The following is a 21,005-nucleotide window of genomic DNA, read 5'->3' on the forward strand; positions in this document are numbered from 1 at the left end:
CCTGTAATCCCAGCTACTCGGGAGGTTGAGGGGGGAGGATTGCTTGACCTGGGAAGTTGAGATTGCAGTGAGCCATGATCGTGCCACTGCACTCCAGCCTGGGCGACAGAGCAAGACTCTGTCCCAAGGTTTTGTTTTGGTGAACTTGCGGTCTCTTTTCCCAGGAATTCCTTGTGGGCTACCCCCCAACATCACCAATGGATATTTCATTAGCACCGACAGAGAGTATTTTCACTATGGATCAGTGGTGACCTACCACTGCAATCTTGGAAGCAGAGGGAGAAAGGTGTTTGAGCTCGTGGGTGAGCCCTCCATATACTGCACCAGCAAAGATGATCAAGTGGTCGTCTGGAGCGGCCCAGTCCCTCAGTGCATTATACCTAACAAATGCACACCTCCAAATGTGGAAAATGGAATATTGGTGTCTGACAACAGAAGCTTATTTTCCTTAAATGAAGTTGTGGAGTTTAGGTGTCAGCCTGGCTTTGTCATGAAAGGACCCCCCGCACCGTGTGCAATGCCAGGCCCTGAACAAATGGGAGCCGGAGCTACCAAGCTGCTCCAGGGGTGTGTTTGCCTGAGGCCTAGAAGGGCCCTGCAAGTGACATGCATTGCTGTTGGATCAGGAGATGAGTATTTGTTTAGGGGGAGGGATGTATGTTGAGGAGGGTGGGAAAGTAAGTTTTGGGGGAAGAAGCATGAAATTAAGAATCTGGGGTGTGCAAGCACTCATGCATATGTGTCTTCATTTTGAAAAGCAAGACCTTAATTAGCCAAGAAAACTGGTATTTTGGACTCACCTATTAATCAATTGTCAGGGCAAAGTACCAGCTGCAATCTCTCTCAATTATATTGAAAAATTATATGGACTTTATGGTCAGCTGTGCCCTAAGCACTTTGTATACATTATCTCATTTATTATTTAAAACAACACTGTCTTATTTAAGGGCTTGTGTTTTTGATGGCTCATCTTGTCTACTGATGCCACAATAGCTGGCTTAGCAGCGGAGTGGGAGGTGTTATGGCAGATACATAGGGACAGAGAAAGAGCTTACAATTCTTCTACCAACCCATGTTAGCCTTGTGCAACCACTGAGCTGGGAAGACAAACAGATAAAGGGATATAAAGACGGATGTACCGAGGCAGGAGATGGGCAGGGCTTGTGTTCTGGTCACAATCCTGCTGACCAAAACAGAATCTGGCCTAGACAGGATGAAGTGAAAAAACAGCAGCAACAGGCAGATGGCGATGAAAGCAATCACTAGCTGCCCTCATATTCCCATCAGCACTGTGACAGTTTACAAATGCCATGGCAACGATCTGGAAGTTACCACCCCTTTCCAGGAAAGTTCTAAATAACACGCCCCTCAATTTGCATTGATGTGCCCCTTAACTTACCTGTAATTGGCTGGGCATGGTGGCCCATGCCTGTAATCCCAGCACTTTGGGAGGCCAAGATGGGCAGATCACCTGAGGTCAGGAGTTCAAGACCAGCCTGGCCAACATGGTGAAACCCTGTCTTTACTAAAAATACAAAAATTATCTGAGTGAGGTGGCTCGCACCTGAAATCTCATGAGGCTGAGGCAGGAGAATCACTTGAACCTGGGACGCGGAGGTTGCAGTGAGCTAAGATCACACGACTGTGCTCCAGCCTGGATGACAGAGTGAGATATCACCTCAAAAAAAAAAAAACACAAAAAACAAGAAACAAAAATAATTTACATGTAATTGAAGCGGGCTTACAGGAGTATAAATACAGTTGCCTGCCAGGAGCTCATATGTTGCTGACTCTGGGCACATTGCCTGTGAGTTAGCCCTGCTCTGCAAAGGGCAATGCCTTTCTAAAAGATCGCTGTCTAGCACCACTGGCTCATCCGTGAATTCTGTCCTGAGTGAGGCAAGAACCCTTCCAGAGTAAGCCCCAATTTAGGGGCATGCCTGTCCCCAAACAGTATGACTGTACTTTAGTCATTGGTGTGCAATCAGAGAAATATGGGGAAATCTGTAAAACAGACTTGGTCTCAGGTGACAGTCTCATTACCTGAATAATGATGGTACAAATACCTCCCTAGGAAATATGTAGATGGAGAATCCACCAATACTAATAACTCCACACTGGATATCCAGAGCTAGGAGAAAATACTTCATGCCCTGTAGATTTACAGGTGAATTTTGGGCCATGTGCTAGGGAGAATTGTGTTCTATTTCTCTACCTTTTACTAACTATGAGGCCTTCAGCAGGCATAGGATATAGCAAAAGAAATTCCCCCATAACTAACAAGTACTCTGGAACTGTCCTTTCTACAATGTGTCAGCCGCCTCCAGAAATCCTGCATGGTGAGCATACCCTAAGCCATCAGGACAACTTTTTACCTGGGCAGGAAGTGTTCTACAGCTGTGAGCCCAGCTATGACCTCAGAGGGGCTGCGTCTCTGCACTGCATGCCCCAGGGAGACTGGACCCCTGAAGCCCCCAGATGTACAGGTGCCTCTCTTTCCCCCTCACATGGAAGTCTTACTCCTGTTGTTTTATTTTTTCTTCTCGTGAAATCCTGTGATGACTTCCTGGGCCAACTCCCTCATGGCCGTGTGCTGTTTCCACTTAATCTCCAGCTTGGGGCTAAGGTATCCTTTGTTTGTGATGAAGGGTGAGTGTGACCCAGTGTTGAGACCAAGGACTCAGTGTGGAGAATCACTGAGTTAATCCAATTAAGGAGCTGACCTAGTAGATAAGAAGTACCCAGAGAGATTAATTTATGGAAGGGTAGTTTTGAAATAAGCGTTAATCCAATTAAGGAGCTGACCTAGTAGATAAGAAGTACCCAGAGAGATTAATTTATGGAAGGGTAGTTTTGAAATAAGGGTAGGGACTAAGTGGCACCGCCTTCAGAAAACAATGAAAAAATGGCACATACAACTCAATATCAGATACAAACCTAAATACAGTCACTGATCTTGGGTACACAGTTGGAACTTGAAATGAATGGGTACGTATTTATTTGGAGGCAAAAGAACATAATTTTATAAAATGTGTGCTAGAAAAAAAAGATGAATGAGATGGAAATTGTTTGCCTCATAATAAGGCAAAGGTTGTTTTAGGAAACTTAAAACCAGTCAATAATGGAATCTGTAATAGTGTATGAATAACTATGTTTTAACCCAATTACATATCTTCATGTCAAGAATGGCCAGTGTAATTGTTTTGATGCAAGATTTTTCTCAGCCACTTTGCCAGCTGGTGACCTCTGGCCAGAAACATCCCTGTCCAGGCCTTGCTCTACCCAGGATCAATGCAGGAGACACCTCATCTACTTGGCCCACCCAGGCCGTGCCAGGCTTGTGCTCTGATGCAGAGCCCATGGCTGCCGCGACTACATGCTCAGCCTCTGGGAGGGGGTGTGTGAGTGAGCAAGTGGGGGTTCCAGCTGGCCGCGCCAAGCACTGGCACAGGAGCGGGCTCCGTGCAAGGCTTGTGGCTGGACCAGGCATGTCACACTGAAGGGAATGTGTTGGTGCCCAAACAGGGGTCCCCACGACCCCGAAGCCCAGAGGGGGTGTAACAGCATGGTAATAGCTCTTAGCATTTGATAATGCCTGCAGCCCAACAGATGGCGGTGTGTTAACAACTCTGTCAGTTCCATCGCCCCGCTCAGGCCTGCATCTCCAAGGCTGACTTGGCCTGCATCTCCAAGGCTGACTTGGCCTGCATCTCCAGGGCTGACTGGACCTGCTGGTGCTTCCTGTTGCATGGAATAACTTCCCTCCCCTAGGAGACGGCAAAGAGCCACTGTATTACAGCCTTCTTCATACCTGCGTTTGGTGGGTCCTGAGTTCTTGTCCCGCATCCAAGAAGAACAAGCTTATGCTGACAATAGAAGGGTGAGGAGGGTGGAGAAGAGTTTTATTGAGTGACAAAACAGCTTCTCAGCAGAGAAGAGACACAAGGGTGGACCCCAGATGAAGTCAGGGGGTCATTCTCTCAGTGTGGCTGGTTCTGGAGCCTTTATGGACTCAGAATTGGAAGTGTGTGTTAATTGGTTGGTGAGTATGCAAAAAAGGCTAAAACAAAGCCACCACTCAAAGGTGGGCACAACAGTGCAAAAAACCAATTAGGGAAGAGCAGGTATATGTGAAATAGATGAAGAGTGGGGATCAATCAGAGGAAAGCACACCCAACAGGAAGAGAGGTTCTCAAGCCAGTCCATGGATTTACCTGGAACTTGTAGCTAGGCTTTAAACTGTCTTCAGCTTGAAGGTCGGGTTTCACCGGGATCCGCCCCATCTGCCTGTGATTTGTCTGCCTCCTGCTTCTACCACTGTCAAGTGGTATTATTCGTTGCTTATGTGTATCCATTATTCTTGGTGATACAGTATGAGTCTGGGGGATAACTAGATTGAGCAATTAAGGAGTTATTTTTAATAATTTCCAAGGATTCTTTGGCATTTACAAAGTCCACCACCTAATAATGATTTCCAATTTCAGAACGATTTTAGATTTCAGAAGGGAAGCAGTACTCAATAGTAAGTTGAGCATTTCAGGGTGGCAAAGACTCCTCCCCTGACCCTTCTTTTTTTCTTAGAACACATGGTTCAGCATGCTTCTGTGAGCCTCTTTCTGGCCTGTTACATTTGGAGTGGCGAGAAGAACAGATATTCCTGGCTTTGCTTACCAAATCAAAAGCTGTTCTGCCTCATGACCCACTAATGAGAATAAGTGGGATGTCAGAGAGCCATCAATGAAAGATGACACCTGAAGGTTATGGCTCTTGTGCCCATGGAGAAGTCTGGTTCTGTGTTCATGCCTTCTGTAGGTGATGCTGGGCTATGAAGTTTATATGGCACTTCAGCTCTGATTGCTTTGCCAGTCACAGGGTACCATGGTTCTTTAGAATAAATTGGCCTTTGAGTTTCTGTCAGCTACTGAAGAATTCAGATCCCTAATGAACTAAGACTTTTAGCTAGACCTGAACCTAAGACCCAAATGATAGTCAAGGAGGAAATGGTAGTGAGGAAGCTGAGCATCTATTAGTGAAGAAATCAAGGGAGAGATGGGAATTGCTCACACATTTGCTACCACTTTTTTTTTTCTTTAGGTTCTGATTAAAAGGCAGGTCTGCTAGTCATTGTGTCTTGGCTGGAATGAAAGCCCTTTGGAATAGCAGTGTTCCAGTGTGTGAACGTGAGTAGAAAGAACTACGTAGTTTGGATAGCTCTCCTTATTTTTGTTTTCCAGTGTTTTACTGCACGGAATCACTTGTCTGGATCTTTACTTAACTAAATTACTGATTAAAATACTTCTCTGTTGGAAGAATTTCAAGAAGGGTCTTGTAGGACTTTTCTGACATTTGTTACTAATCTGTAAATCACTTAGTTTAATGACTGTTTAATTTTGTGGGGAATGTGTGGCAAGAAACTAAATGACATAAAAGTGCAGCACATTTTAGTCAGTCATTTATTTTTAATTTTCTTATAAGGAGTAATCTTTCTTACATTTTTTTTTTCTTTTTTGAGACAGTTACCCAGGACAGAATGCAGTGGTGCAATCACAGCTCACTGCAGTTTCAATGGCCTGGGCTGTAGTGACCCTCCCACTTCAGCCTCCCAGTAGTTGGGACTACAGGTGCATGCCACCACACCTGGCTAATTTTTTATATTTTGTAGAGATGGAGTCTTGCCATATTGCCCAGGCTGGTCTCAAACTCCTGGGCTCAAGCTATCCTCCCATCTTGGCCTCCAAAAGTGTTAGGATTACAAGTGTGAGCCACCGTACCCAGCCAAATTCTTATGTTCTTTTATCCCCTCACGTATCATAAACAATTTAGTCAGCTTGTTTTTTAGCCTGCAGTATTGAATGACATAGGGCTTCCCATGTGCTAGGACTTTCCATGTGTAGAAAATGCAATGAAGAGTAAAAGAATAGTGAAGCCACCTCCCTACTTTCCTGGAGTATATTTTCTTGTTGGGAAGAAGACTAAAAACAATAAAATAAGAAAACAAAATTCTAAAAATTATAATATATAAAATGGTAGTTAAATAGGGATGTTATGGAGAAAATAAAACAGAGTTATATGATAAATTAGTACAGTGTACAGTGGAAGGAGCCGGGATGACGAATCAGTGTCTGAAATGATGAGGTGTCCTAAATTTCCAAACCATCCGCTTAAATAAAATATCCCAAAATTCAGAAAGAATTCAGAAACTCAGATAAAAGTACATATTTGACATACTAAGACATTACTGATTTACCCTATTCTGTCTATTAAAGCAAGGCATGATTTTTTTAAACCTTTTTTTTCTTATTGGAAAATGTTTACTTTAATTTGCATTGTGTTAAAATAACTTACAGAAATCAATTTGGATATTTTATGGTGAGTATTATGGTGAAGAACATTCAATACCTGAGGAAACTCAAGTATCCAACAAACTCAACCCTTACAGAGACACATAGAGCTGAAAATAAATATATAAATAAACTTAGGAAAAACACAAGTAAAATTCAAGCATGAGAAGTTAATCATTGTTTGATGTACTAAGTCTTTTATGTACACATAATTCCGATAAACTTGGGTATCTCTTCCTAAATTCATATCAAATTAGAAGCATCAAGTGCTTTTAGGGAAGGAACTGTTCTAAACAGAAGAAAAGAAGGAAGAAATGATGGCTAATAATTTGGAAGAAAGAAAAAAAGCCTCTTTGGCACCATTTAATCTGTGTAAAAAGAGCCTTACCAATGTAGTCTGATGACACCACTGGAAATTTGGTATTGGTCCTGATGATAACAGTCTTGAATCACCAAGAAACATTTACATTGCTAAAGATGATAGTTCATGACTATTAAAGTTCATAGATTTCCTTGGAACTTATGGTCTCTGATGGCCAAAATTTTGTCTGTCTTGAACCTCATTGTCAACCCAGGAATCTTACTATGCCTGATTTAAAGTAGACAACCAAATGGGTGTTTGTAAAAAAATTAAAAAAAATTACTTTCCAAATTCATTATGAACGTAGCTACCTGGATGGTCCAAAAACACTGTCTTTGGGCTTTTGCAATAGACTGTAATTTAGGTCTCACAACAGTTAGTTGCCTCTCAACAAAAGCCTTACAGATTTAAATTCCATCCACCTTAGTTATAGTCTTTCTAAAAGAAAAAAAATTATATTCATAGCACTGTCGCAGGTCACTAATATTTCAGTCATCTTAAGTGAAACTCTAATAGAACTTAAAAGCTCTTGTTTTCTTTCTAGAAATCTTTTGTCCAAATCCTCCAGCTATCCTTAATGGGAGACACACAGGAACTCCCCTTGGAGATATTCCCTATGGAAAAGAAGTATCTTACACATGTGACCCCCACCCAGACAGAGGGATGACCTTCAACCTCATTGGGGAGAGCACCATCCGCCGCACAAGTGAACCTCATGGGAATGGGGTTTGGAGCAGCCCTGCCCCTCGCTGTGAACTTCCTGTTGGTGCTGGTCAGTATCCGCTTCCACATATCCTAAATGGGTTCAGAATATGTAGGTGAGAACCTTCATATTTCTATAGTGACAGTCATTTTTGCTTGTGAAAATGGCTTTGCTGTAACTGTCAGAGACAGAACTACCTCCCAAGTGAATGACAAATGGGTTCTAGATAGGCACACTGTCTCAATTATTGGTATTCTGATGGCCTTTGGGGTGAGGAGGGTGGGATGGTAAGGAGAGAAGAGGGTGGACAGTGAAGAGAATTGGTGAGGTCCAGATTTTGTAGAGAAATTTTTGAAAGTACTGAAAACAAATGCTAAAGAATGTACTCTTTTATTCTACCCCTACTATGAGTTGTCTTTATCCTGGAGAGATGGATGTGCTGCGCAAAAAGTACATGATGATGTAATTTACTTCAGAACTGATAACGCTATAAAAGTAATTTAAGAAATTCAGATGTAGGGATTTATACTTTTTATGTTGTTTCCAAGGGTTTGTTCAAGCCGCTGACTATATTTAGTTGGTCCTTCACCTCACCATTAACAAAGGGAACTCGGGAGGCCCTGGAGAAGCAGAGTCTGAGACTGTACTCTTAGCCTTCATAGCTCCTTCCTTTGATATATTACTCTGGCTTTAAACGACAGTACTTGACAACCGTAGATGCATTTGTGGCTGTGACTGCCCACACAAGCTCCATCCTCCAGTAAGGACAGAAGAGCATTGAATTATAAAAGGTGTTGACTTTTTAATGTGTTCTTTTGAGATGGAGTCTTGCACTGTCTCCCAGGCTGGAGTGTAATGGCACAAACTCGGCTCAATGCAACCCCCGCCTCCTGGGTTTGAGCAATTCTCCTGCCTCAGCTTCCCAAGTAGCTAGGATTACAGGCACCCACCACCACACCTGGCTAATTTTTGTATTTTTTAGTAGAGACAGGGATTCACAATGTTGGCCCGGCTGGTCTCTAACTCCTGACCTCAGGTAATCCACCTGCCTCGACTTTCCAAAGGTGTGGGATTACAGGCATGAGCCTGGTGCTGACTTTTTTGACCTGTTGGCTAATTGGACTTAGAACTTCTGTATGTTGAAAAAATGACTATAAATCATGCTGCTATAAAGACACATGCACACGTATGTTTATTGCGGCATTATTCACAATAGCAAAGACTTGGAACCAACCCAAATGTCCAACAATGATAGACTGGATTAAGAAAATGTGGCACATATACACCATGGAATACTATGCAGCCATAAAAAATGATGAGTTCATGTCCTTTGTAGGGACATGGATGAAATTGGAAAACATCATTCTCAGTAAACTATCACAAGAACAAAAAACCAAACACCGCATATTCTCACTCATAGGTGGGAATTGAACAATGAGATCACATGGACACAGGAAGGGGAATATCACACTCTGGGGACTGTGGTGGGGTCGGGGGAGGGGGGAGGGATAGCATCGGGAGATATACCTAATGCTAGATGACACGTTAGTGGGTGCAGCGCACCAGCATGGCACATGTATACATATGTAACTAACCTGCACAATGTGCACATGTACCCTAAAACTTAAAGTATAATTTAAAAAAAAAAAACATTAAAAAAAAAAAGAAAAATAAATAACACAGTAGATAGATGAGAAATATATGGGAAACACAGCAAAGGGTTAATAGTGTTATCTTACAGGTAGCAGTAGTGGTGGTTGTGATACTAGTTGTAAAAGTTAATATATAATGAATACTTAGTACCACTGTTAGATAGGCTGGACATGGTGGCTTATGTCTGTAATACCAGCACTTTGGGAGGCTAAAGTGAGACGATCACTTGAGCCCAGGAGTTCAAGTGCAGCCTGGGCAGTATAGCAAAACTCTGTCTCTACAAAAAATAAAAAAAATTAGCTGGGCGTGGTAGTGCATGCCTGTAGTCACAGCTTCTTGAGAGGCTCAGGTGGGAGAATCCCAAGCCTGGGAGGTCGAGGCTGCAGTGAGCTGAGATCACAACACTGCACCCCAGCCTGGACAACAAACAAGACTCTGTCTCAAACACACACACACACACACGCACACACACAAGATAGCTTCTAATTTAATTACACAACAACCTATGAGGAGGATAGTATTCTTATTGTCTCATTTTATAGGTGTAGAAACTGAGACACAGAGGGTTTAGGTAACTTGCACAAGACCACAGAATGGGGTAGCCTGGGTTCAGCCAAGCAATCTACTTATCTGTAGAGACTGTGCTCTTTAACAATAAATAAATGGTCAACGGACCTAAATATATAATTCAACAAGAGAGAATATTTAAGTACTGTCATAATGAAATGGAAAGCTATCAGGCAAGGTCCCAAACACCAGATAATGGGCAATTCTTAAGTTGGATGAAGGAGATACATACAAAGAATTAGAATGGGCCAAATAACTATTAACCAGCAGGTTCTTGGAACTCAGAGCTTAGTGTAAACTCCTCGTGAATTGGGCTGAACCACATAGGAACTCCTTTTGTCTCTCTGAACTAAGACTCAGACTAAAAGCAGTCCCCTTTGCCTTCTTGTTCCTAGTCTCTTTACCCTATCTAGTCTTGGCCTTTGACATCTTACTGCTTTGTAGTGAGAAGAGACAAAGAAAATTTCATGATCTTAGAGACTATCGAAACAGAAAAAATTAAACCCAGTATTTTTTCCCTAAGACTTGGGATAGATTGCTTAAGATACCAGTCCTAGGCCTTCCTAAAATGGAAGATGAGGAACTAACCTGGGGCGGTGGTCCAGGCTTGGAGTGACATGCCATAGAGGGTTTTGAGACAGAATAGCAATCCAAAGAGAAAAAGGAACCTTTGAGTACTAGCATCAGAGCAGGAAGAATATCTTGGGATACTCAGATCCCCTATCTCCCCATTTCAATGGCCCAGTTACATCAGAGGCCTGATTCATTTCAAAACCTTCCTCAGAGCAAGGGGTAATTGCCAGGTACCCTTTAAAGCCAGAATTAATACATATAACCCATATTTACGCTGTCTCAAGACTAATTAGCATGGTGTTGCATGCTAGACAAATAAGTTCAACTCCAGAAAACATGTAAAAACTAACAGAAGTTTCAACTTGAATATCTTAAGAGAGGCTTAAAGAAAAATTAAACTATGTGACACTCATTAAAATGTCCCCAAATCCTCTTTACCCATTTCCATTACCCAGTGTCCCATTCATTAAAGCAACTGCTTTCCTAGAGCCTAGCTTCTCTCAGTTCCACCCAGACTGTCTCTCAATAGTCTCCCCACCTTCTGGACCTTCTTAGTTCACAAGAAGTCTCCATGCCATTTCTAAGGTAAATGGAGTTTCTTCAGTTCTGCATAGTTCGATGCAACACAGCCTTGAAAGTTTCTGCAGGGAAATGCAGAAACTATCTTAGGATGCAAGATTTAGAGAAAGGGTGTAAATATCTTTCTACTTTGGCACATAAATATACAGAAACTGTTTAACCTCACTAGAACTAAAGAAATGCAAAAATAACAAAGTACCCTTTTTTTTTATTATACTTTAAGTTTTAGGATACATGTGCACATTGTGCAGGTTAGTTACATATGTATACATGTGCCATGCTGGTGTGCTGCAACCACTAACTCGTCATCTAGCATTAGGTATATCTCCCAATTCTATCCCTCCCCCCTCCCCCCACCCCACCACAGTCCCCAGAGTGTGATATTCCCCTTCCGTGTCCATGTGATCTCATTGTTCAATTCCCACCTATGAGTGAGAATATGCGGTGTTTGGTTTTTCGTTCTTGCGATAGTTTACTGAGAATGATGTTTTCCAATTTCATCCATGTCCCTACAAAGGACATGAACTCATCATTTTTTATGGCTGCATAGTATTCCATGGTGTATATGTGCCACATTTTCTTAATCCAGTCTATCATTGTTGGACATTTGGGTTGGTTCCAAGTCTTTGCTATTGTGAATAATGCCACAATAAACATACGTGTGCATGTGTCTTTATAGCAGCATGATTTATAGTCCTTTGGGTATATACCCAGTAATGGGATGGCTGGGTCAAATGGTATTTCCAGTTCTAGATCGCTGAGGAATCGCCACACTGACATCCACAATGGTTGAACTAGTTTACAGTCCCACCAACAGTGTAAAAGTGTTCCTATTTCTCCACATCCTCTCCAGCACCTGTTGTTTCCTGACTTTTTAATGATTGCCATTCTAACTGGTGTGAGATGGTATCTCATTGTGGTTTTGATTTGCATTTCTCTGATGGCCAGTGATGATGAGCATTTTTTCATGTGTTTTTTGGCTGCATAAATGTCTTCTTTTGAGAAGTGTCTGTTCATGTCCTTCACCCACTTTTTGATGGGGTTGTTTGTTTTTTTCTTGTAAATTTGTTTGAGTTCATTGTAGATTCTGGATATTAGCCCTTTGTCAGATGAGTAGGTTGCGAAAATTTTCTCCCATTTTGTAGGTTGCCTGTTCACTCTGATGGTAGTTTCTTTTGCTGTGCAGAAGCTCTTTAGTTTAATTAGATCCCATTTGTCAATTTTGTCTTTTGTTGCCGTTGCTTTTGGTGTTTTAGACATGAAGTCCTTGCCTATGCCTATGTCCTGAATGGTAATGCCTAGGTTTTCTTCTAGGGTTTTTATGGTTTTAGGTCTAATGTTTAAGTCTTTAATCCACCTTGAATTGATTTTTGTATAAGGTGTGAGGAAGGGATCCAGTTTCAGCTTTCTACATATGGCTAGCCAGTTTTCCCAGCACCATTTATTAAATAGGGAATCCTTTCCCCATTGCTTGTTTTTGTCAGGTTTGTCAAAGATCAGATAGTTGTAGATATGCGGCGTTATTTCTGAGGGCTCTGTTCTGTTCCATTGATCTATATCTCTGTTTTGGTACCAGTACCATGCTGTTTTGGTTACTGTAGCCTTGTAGTATAGTTTGAAGTCAGGTAGTGTGATAAAGTACCCTTTTTTTAAATTGTCCATTAAATTAACGACAAACAGGTTTTTATGTGAACACCCAATAAAAAGTAAGGATGTAATGTAACGAATATTGTTGTATATTGAAGGTACTATTGTAAATTGGCAAAATCTCTTATGAAAAACAATTATGCAATGTGTGTGGACAATAATACAAATATTCTGCCAGTTAGCCTCCTAGAACTGCAACCTAAGAAAATAGTGTAAAATATAAAATAGTTTATGCATTTTATTAAGGGTTTCATGAGAAAGAAAACTAGAAATAAATGCACAATAGAAGTCATTGAATATACTATGATGCATCTACTAGATTATATTAGTTTGCCTTTGTTGTAACTTATATTTCTAGTATATAAATATGTGAAAACATACCAGAAGAGAATGTATCAAAACACATTTTGGGTACTAGGATTTGGGGTGATATTTTTCTTTAGTTCTGTATTATAAGTTTTCTTCTGTAATTGTATTACTTTTACGAGAAAAATATTAATTTTTAAAGTCTTCTTGGCAGTGGCTCGCGCCTGTATTCCCAGCACTTTGGGAGGCTGAGGCGGGCAGATCACGAGGTCAGGAGATTGAGACCATCCTGGCCAACATGGTGAAACCCCGTCTCTACTAAAAACACAAAAATTAGCTGGGTGTGGTAGCACGTGCCTGTTTTCCCAGCTACACAGGAGGCTGAGGCACGAGAATCCCTTGAACCCAGGAGGCAGAGGTCGCAGTGAGGTTGCACCACTGCACTCCAGCCTGGCGACAGAGTGAGACTTTGTCAAAAAAAAAAAAAAAAAATCTTCTCTGAGTGCAGAAGGTAAAATGAGAGTATATGAGTGAAATCAATGGCTTTTTATAAAAAATATTAGTCTGAGTCCTGAATAAAAATCAGGATAAATTGTCACTGGCTGAGAAGTCCTGTTCAATCATGTTGCATGCCAGAGTGATGTTTTTGTGACTTTTGTCTTCCTTTTAGGTTCACATGATGCTCTTATAGTTGGTAAGTTTTATGAAGTGTTTGCTGAGGAATTCTGTCATCTTTAACAGTAAGTACCTACTTATAATGAATGCAATGTAGAAAGAGAGATCAAAATATCTTGAGTTATAAATTCAAATAGAAAGAAAATTATGATGAGTTTAGGCCAGGATATGGTGAAACTGGCATCGTCATATGCCAGGTTATTGAGTAACCTTCCTCAAAAGTTCTTTACTATCTTTGAACCACTACAAATGCATAATCGTTCAACAGTGTCAAAAAGTATTTATTTGAATGTGGTGGGAGAATGAAACTTCTTCTTTGGGTTATAACCTGGAGTATGCTTCCAGATGGTGATTGTGCCCATTTGTACAAATAGAAAGCTACAAGACCAGTCTTCCGAGCCCATGTCTGTGATCTGCCTATGTAAGAAGAATAGTTTTGTAATAGAGTTTGCTTCCAAGGGAATCTCTATGGCATAGTATTCTTACATCCCTTTTTATACATCTGGACACTGAGACACGGAGGGTTTAGGTAACTTGCCCAAGACCACAGAATGGGGTAGCCTGGGTCTAAGCAGGCAATCTACCTATCAGTGGAGACTGTGCACTTTAACAATCAATAAATGGACAAAAGGACGTAAATATATAATTCAACAAGAGAGAAAATTCCAGTATTGTCACAGTGAAATGCCTGTGTGTTAAGCCTTAGGCGAGAGACATGGGCAGGGCCATGGAGAGCCAGTGGCCAGCTGTCCCATCGCACTTCTCACTTACTTGTGGAAAGGCTGATGGTGGACTAAAGGTTACAAAAGAGGTCAGCTCACCCCTTAACTATAATAACCCTGTGGGAGTGAGACTAATGCTATAGAAACCCAGAGTAAAGCAGAATGTATAGTTACATCTTTTAAAAAAAAAAGCATTGGCAATCTGTAGTGGGACTGGATACTAAGATAGAATTTAAAACCTGTGAGTTATATTTTCCACGCATTTAATTACCTTGTTTTACTGCCTAGGCACTTTACTTGGTACGATCATCTTTATTTTAATCATCATTTTCCTCTATTGGATAATTTTCAAGCACAGAAAAAGGTAAGTATAGCCATATTATCCCAAGAAATGTAAACTGTACTTACCCCCTCTTGGAAGTCAAAAGAAAGTAAAAGACAAACAAACCCATTGCTACATAAACAGATGTGGTAATTCTTATAAAGAAGGTCCTTGACACACAGTATAGACAAAGAGGTATTCACACTAAAGGAAGTATATAGGATACTAAGAACAATTAAAAAATAATAATAATAACAAAAAACCAGCATTTTGGCCAGGTACAGTGACTCATGCCTGTAAATTCAGCACTTTGGGAGGCCAAGGTGGGCAGATTACTAGAGGCCAGGAGTTCGAGACCAGCCTGGGCAACATGGTAAAACCCCGTCTCTACTAAACATACAAAAAATTAGCCGGGCGAGGTGGCACACGCCTGTAATGTCAGCTGCTTGGGAGGCTGAAGCACAAGAATTGCTTGAACCCAGGAGGCAGAGGTTGTAGTAAGCTGAGATTGAGCTGTTGCACTCCAGCCTGGGCGACAGAGTGAGACTACATCTCAAAACACACACACACACGCACACACACACAAACACATAGCATTTTAAGCAAGAATTGAGTTTTACAGAAAGAGAAAGTAGGCAGAAGGGGTTTTTAAAAAGTTGTTCATGAGGCTGTTTGATATCCTAGTTTTGCTAAGACATTGCAGATACTGACCTCTAAGCCCAGATCCTATCATAGCACTAGAAGTTAGATTGGGTCACTTATGGCACACATAGGCTGCCAGTGGGGAAGAACTGAGACTTTCCATTGGGTATTTTAATATATGAACAAATATTTTGTAATTACAATTAACTTTTTTTTTTTTTGAGACAGAGTCTTGCTCTGTCACCCAGCCTAGAGTGCAGTGGTGCGATCTTGGCTCAATGAAACCTCTGCCTCCCGGGTTCAAGGGATTCTCCTGCCTCAGCCTCCCGAGTAGCTGGGACTACAGGCCTGTGCCACTACGCCAGGTTAATTTTTGTATTTTTAGTAGAGACAGTTTTGCCATGTTGGCCAGGCTGGTCTCAAACTCCTGGCCTCAAGTGATCCACCCGCCTTGGCCTCCCAAAGTGCTGGGATTGCAGGCATGAGCCACCATGCCAGGCTACCATTAACTTTTTACACTTGAAAAAAAATTCCAAAAATTAAGATCTGAGTAAAGAAATGTCTTTGACAGGGAAGAGAACATACGCAGCTTTTGTACTGGTTGACTGAAATATAACAACATCAATGAGGCCAGAATCAATAATATCAATGTTATAAGGTTGATGAGCAAATTCTATATCCATAAAAAACTGAGGGCCAGGCTCGGTGGCTCACGCCTGTAATCCCAGCATTTTGGGAAGCTGAGGTGGGCAGATCATGAGGTCAGAAGTTCGAGACCAGCCTGGCCAACACAGTGAAACCCCCATCTCTACTAAAAATACAAAAAGTTAGCTGGGCATGGTGGCGTGTGCCTGTAGTCCCAGCTACTCGGGAGGCTGAAGCAGGAGAATCGCTTGAACCTAGAAGGCGGAGGTTGTGGTGAGCTGAGATCGCAACACTGCACTCCAGTCTGGGCAACAGAGCAGACTCTGTCTAAAAAATAAAAATAAAAAAACTGAATTTGCAACTTTTAAGTGAACAGTTTTCTACAGGAAATATTCTAAACAAGTACAGTTTCCTACAATGAGCTTTACAGCAATCGAAGTTTTCGTATTTCACAGAGATTTCAATACACTTTTTAAAAAGTAGTTTGTCATAGTAGATCTTGCTGTAAACAACCTAGTCAGGAACTCAATTTCATGGGAAAATAGTGAATTGGTTGACATTTAAATTTAAATCATTATCCTTCCTAACTAATGTTCTCTATATCGTATGGCTTGACATATAGATGTTCTTTGCTCTTTTCTATTACAAAAAGAAAAGATAAGTAGCTGGGCACTTTACCTTAACAAAGTACTTGTGTCAATACATTTTTCTCTTAAAGTTTCTTGTTAGGTACCACTATAATTTGTGAGTTATTTTTATTTTTTTTTTGAGACGAGTCTCGCTCTGTCATCCAGGCTGGAGTGCAGTGGTGCATCTCGGCTCACTGCAAGCTCCGCCTCCCGGGTTCACGCCATTCTCCTGCCTCAGCCTCCCACACAGCTGGGACTACAGGCGCCCGCCACCACACCTGGCTAATTTTTTGTATTTTTTTAGTAGAGACGGGGTTTCACCGTGTTAGCCAGGATGGTCTGATCTCCTGACCTTGTGATCCACCCGCCTCGGCCTCCCAAAGTGCTGGGATTACAGGCGTGAGCCACCGTGCCCAGCCTATGACTTAATTTTTTTTTTTTAATTTACTAAGTCTGAATTAAAGAAGTTGGGGCTTCTAATTTTCTGTATCTATACCAGTCTCTCGTTGAAACTACACAAGGGAAATGATTATCTCTTCCTTTTGAAAATATTCAAGATACTTTAATATGTTGAAGATATTTGAGTATCTCCACCCTTCTAACTATGTCATTCTTCATTCCTTATGGCACATTCCTTGTTAATCAACTAGAGGGTCAGATTCCCAAGCCTAACTATTGATTTGTTTCACCTACATAATTTAAGATCATTTCCTCATATTAATCATCTTCAGGCATAAACATGACTCAATAACCATTTCATAAAATTATTTCTTTAGAAATGATTATCTTGTATAGTTTAAGCAACCTCAGAGCATATACCATTTCTTCACATTTTCCATCTCGTAAAACCTGCCTACTTTTTCATATTCTTTTAAAGTGTAATGTCCATGGCACAACCATTCTCTCTCTGACCAGTGGCTACCAGAAATGTGGCAGAAAGAAAGATCATGATCCTCGTTAGACTTAAAGGTCAGGGAGGTAAACCTCCCAAACATCTATGTAACCCACACTAAAACCTATTCTATATGTGTAATCCAGGAAAATTTTTAAACATTTTCTAAACTTTTATTTTTGACCTGTTTCACTTCTTGGGATTGTAACTGTCTGACGTGTTCTTCCTGCCTGTCATACAGACAAAACCAATTCCCTGAGATCATGGTATATTGCAGTAAAGAAAGAGATGAATTAACACAAGGCCAGTCACGTGGAAGAACTGGAGTTATCACTCAACTCAGTCTCCCCAAGAACACAGGGGCTAGGGTTTTTATAGATCATTTGGTAGGAAGGGAGCTAGGGAATGGGTACTACTGATTGGTTGGGGATGGGGGTGTGGGAAATGTTCCTCATGTGCTGTGTCCACCTCTGGTTGGGGGCCACAGGACCAGTTGAGTCATGAGTCACAGGTCCAGGTAGAGTCAGTCAGTTGCCAAATGCAAAAATCTGAAAAACATCTCAGAAGACCAATCTTACATTCTACAATAGTGATGTTACCTATAGGAGCAATTAGGGAAGTCACAAATCTTGTGACCTCTGGCCACCTGACTCCTGAGCAGTAATGAATTATAAGAACTATGCCTATATTTTAGCAGAGTTCAGGTCCCTCTCCTAATCCTAATCTTTTGGCCTTTCATTAGCTTTCAGGCCCTGAGCAAGGAGGGAGCTAGTTTTAGGAAGAGACTGTTATTATCCTTGCTCCAAAGTTAAATTATAAACTAAATTCCTTTCATGGTTAGCTTGGCCTACACCCAGGAATGAGCAAAGCCGGCCCACCTGTGAGGCTGGAAGCAAGATGAAGTCAGTCACGTTAGATTTCTTTCACTCTCAGAATCTTTGCAAAGGTGGTTTCAGGATAGTGAGTGCATTTCTCTAACAAAACACCATTGATTTTCATGTTAGAAATAACATATAGCTAAAATTGGAAAAAAGAAGTAATAAACTTAAATAATCAGAAGGCAGAGGTCCCTTCTTTTGGAAGGAGTTGGGCTAATTAATCATGCAGTCATACCTCCTTGAGTGGGTGTGGCCAATAAGCTAAGTCATTGTGGCTATGTGAGGAGGGCCAATTATTCCTTATCTGGAGCTCAAGCTTTCCTCACAGAAAGAGAAGGGCATAAAGGGCCTCATGGCAAAGAAGAAGGAAGTCATGTGGGAAACACAGAATATGAGTGGAGAGTATCGTAGTGGTCATCAAGTAAGAAGAGCCGTTTATCCTGGAGCTAAAAAAGACTGACAGATATAGAATAGTGTAGAACAAGATGGCCTGCTCTATGGGAGAGCCGCAATCACACCAGGACTAGACAGTAGCAGGCTGATGTATATCTCAAACACTGGAGACAATTCAGAAACTGCATAAGCAGTCTGAAGACTTACTAAGAAACTAAAATGAGGCTGGGCGCGGTGGCTCAGGCCTGTAATCCCTGCATTTAGGGAGGCCTAGGCGGGTGGACCACCTGAGGTCCGGAGTTGGAGACCAGCCTGGACTACATGATAAAACCCCATCTCTACTAAAAATACAAAAAATTAGCCAGGCATGGTGGCGGGCACATGTAATCCCAGCTCCTCAGGAGGCTGAGGCAGGAGAATCACATGAACCAGGGAGGCGGGGTTGCAGTGAGCCAAGATCGTGCCACTGCATTCCAGCCTGGACAACAAAAGCAAAATTCCCTCTCAAAAAAAAAAAAAAAAAAAAGAAAGAAAGAAAGAAAGAAAAAAGAAACTAAAATAAGACAGAAATAGAAGTAATTCACACACAGAAATCATCTCACCTTCTTTAAAATGCTCCTCAAGGAGGCCTACTTTAACGATCCTAGTAAAGATGGTATGACTCGTATGACCCCCACCCCCACATTCCCAATCTTTCTTATCCTGCTTTATTTTTTTGTATACTTATCGTTTATTATAATTAATTAAATAATTAAGTTTCTTGTTTATTGTCTCTCTCCCTCCATGAAGTCGGGGATTTTTGTCCTGTCTTCACCAATGGATACATAACAAATCTAAACTGTCCCCGGAACAAAGAGAGTCTCAATAAATACTTATCAAATGAATGAGTGAGCTAAACACTACTAAGAGTGTTACCACAAGGGGAAATTTCTGCTCTAATTAATTCTCTACCAAGTTAAACAGTGCATCTTTAACTTGTCCTAAGCTTACTCCAGGTTTCAAGGCTGCTCCTTGTACTAATATACCAACTGTCTCAGTCTGTTGGTATAGATACTTGGGCAGTTATAACAGAAACTCCATAGACTGGGTGGATTCAATAAGCATTTAAGCTGGGTGCAGTGGTACTCACCTATAGTCCCAGCTACTCGGGAGGCTGAGGGAGGAGTACTGCTTGAGCCCATGAGTATAAGGCCAGCCTGGGCAATATGGCAAGACCCCGTCCCTAAAAAACATTATTTCATTTCTAAAAACCAAGCATTTATTTCTCATAGTTCTGGTGGGTAGAGCGTCCAAGATCAAGGCAACTGCAAATTCAGTGTGTGGTGGGACTCACTTTCTAGTTAATAGACTTCAATCTTTTCTTTGTGTCCTCACCTCAGAGAAAAGCAGTGAGGGTGCTCTTGCGGGTCTCTTTTCTAAGGGAACTAGTCCCATTCACAAGGGGTCTTTGAGAAGTAATTAGATACTATAAATTTTCAACATATAAATTTGGAAGGATTCAAACATTCAGTCCATTGTACAAACACTGAATTTGATAAGCACATCTGCTTAAATGATATCACATGTGTTGATTTCATGTGCTTTTCCACCTTTGTTTCTAAATTCCGTTAACCCATCTCTGAATTCATTCAACCAAGACTCTCTCCCAGACAACTCTAGTCCAAAATAATGTCTGTCTTTGAAACTCACATTTCCTGACTATACTATTTTAAAAATAAACTGGGAGGAGCCAAGATGGCCGAATAGGAACAGCTCCAGTCTACAGCTCCCAGCGTGAGCGACGCAGAAGACGGGTGATTTCTGCATTTCCATCTGAGGTACCAGGTTCATCCCACTAGGGAGTGCCAGACAGTGGGCGCAGGTCAGTGGGTGCGCGCACCGTGCACGAGCCGAAGCAGGGTGAGGCATTGCCTCACTCGGGAAGTGCAAGGGGTCAGGGAGTTCCCTTTCCTAGTCAAAGAAAGGGGTGACGGATGGCACCTGGAAAGTCGAGTCACTCCCACCCGAATACTGCGCTTTTCCGACGGGCTTAAAAAACGGCGCACCACGAGATTATATCCCACACCTGGCTCGGAGGGTCCTACGCCCACGGAGTCTCGCTGACTGCTAGCACAGCAGTCTGAGATCAAACTGCAAGGCGGCAGCAAGGCTGGGGGAGGGGCGCCCGCCATTGCCCAGGCTTGCTTAGGTAAACAAAGCAGCCAGGAAGCTCGAACTGGGTGGAGCCCACCACAGCTCAAGGAGGCCTGCATGCCTCTGTAGGCTCCACTTCTGGGGGCAGGGCACAGACAAACAAAAAGACAGCAGTAACCTCTGCAGACTTAAATGTCCCTGTCTGACAGTTTTGAAGAGAGCAGTGGTTCTCCCAGTACGCAGCTGGACATCTGAGAAGGGGCAGACTGCCTCCTCAAGTGGGTGCCTGACCCCTGACCCCCGAGCAGCCTAACTGGGAGGCACCCCCCAACAGGGGCACACTG

At 41.9% G+C, this 21,005-nt stretch overlaps 1 protein-coding gene and 1 pseudogene across 1 annotated transcript in view, besides 1 other annotated feature; both read left to right on the forward strand.

Annotated features, from left to right (window-relative positions):
• Nucleotides 1–13,486, forward strand: part of CR1L (complement C3b/C4b receptor 1 like) — a 78,571-nt gene extending 65,085 nt beyond the window's left edge. The window contains exons 11-12 of the mRNA NM_175710.2: nt 7,247–7,474; nt 13,401–13,486. Of these exons, the coding sequence (NP_783641.1) occupies nt 7,247–7,474; nt 13,401–13,468 (296 nt within the window). The 3' untranslated portion in view covers nt 13,469–13,486. The remainder of the gene's footprint in view (nt 1–7,246; nt 7,475–13,400) is intronic.
• Nucleotides 165–2,651, forward strand: LOC100422434 (complement C3b/C4b receptor 1 (Knops blood group) pseudogene; annotated as a pseudogene).
• Nucleotides 19,930–20,608: an enhancer, noted in NCBI's record as "H3K27ac-H3K4me1 hESC enhancer chr1:207903492-207904170 (GRCh37/hg19 assembly coordinates)". NCBI's record gives its function as "activates a minimal SCP1, AML or CMV promoter by ChIP-STARR-seq in naive H9 embryonic stem cells {active_cell/tissue: H9 hESC(naive)}" and the evidence as "EXISTENCE:reporter gene assay evidence [ECO:0000049][PMID:30033119]".

Source organism: Homo sapiens, chromosome 1, assembly GCF_000001405.40.
Source record: "Homo sapiens chromosome 1, GRCh38.p14 Primary Assembly".
Lineage (NCBI taxonomy): Eukaryota > Metazoa > Chordata > Mammalia > Primates > Hominidae > Homo > Homo sapiens.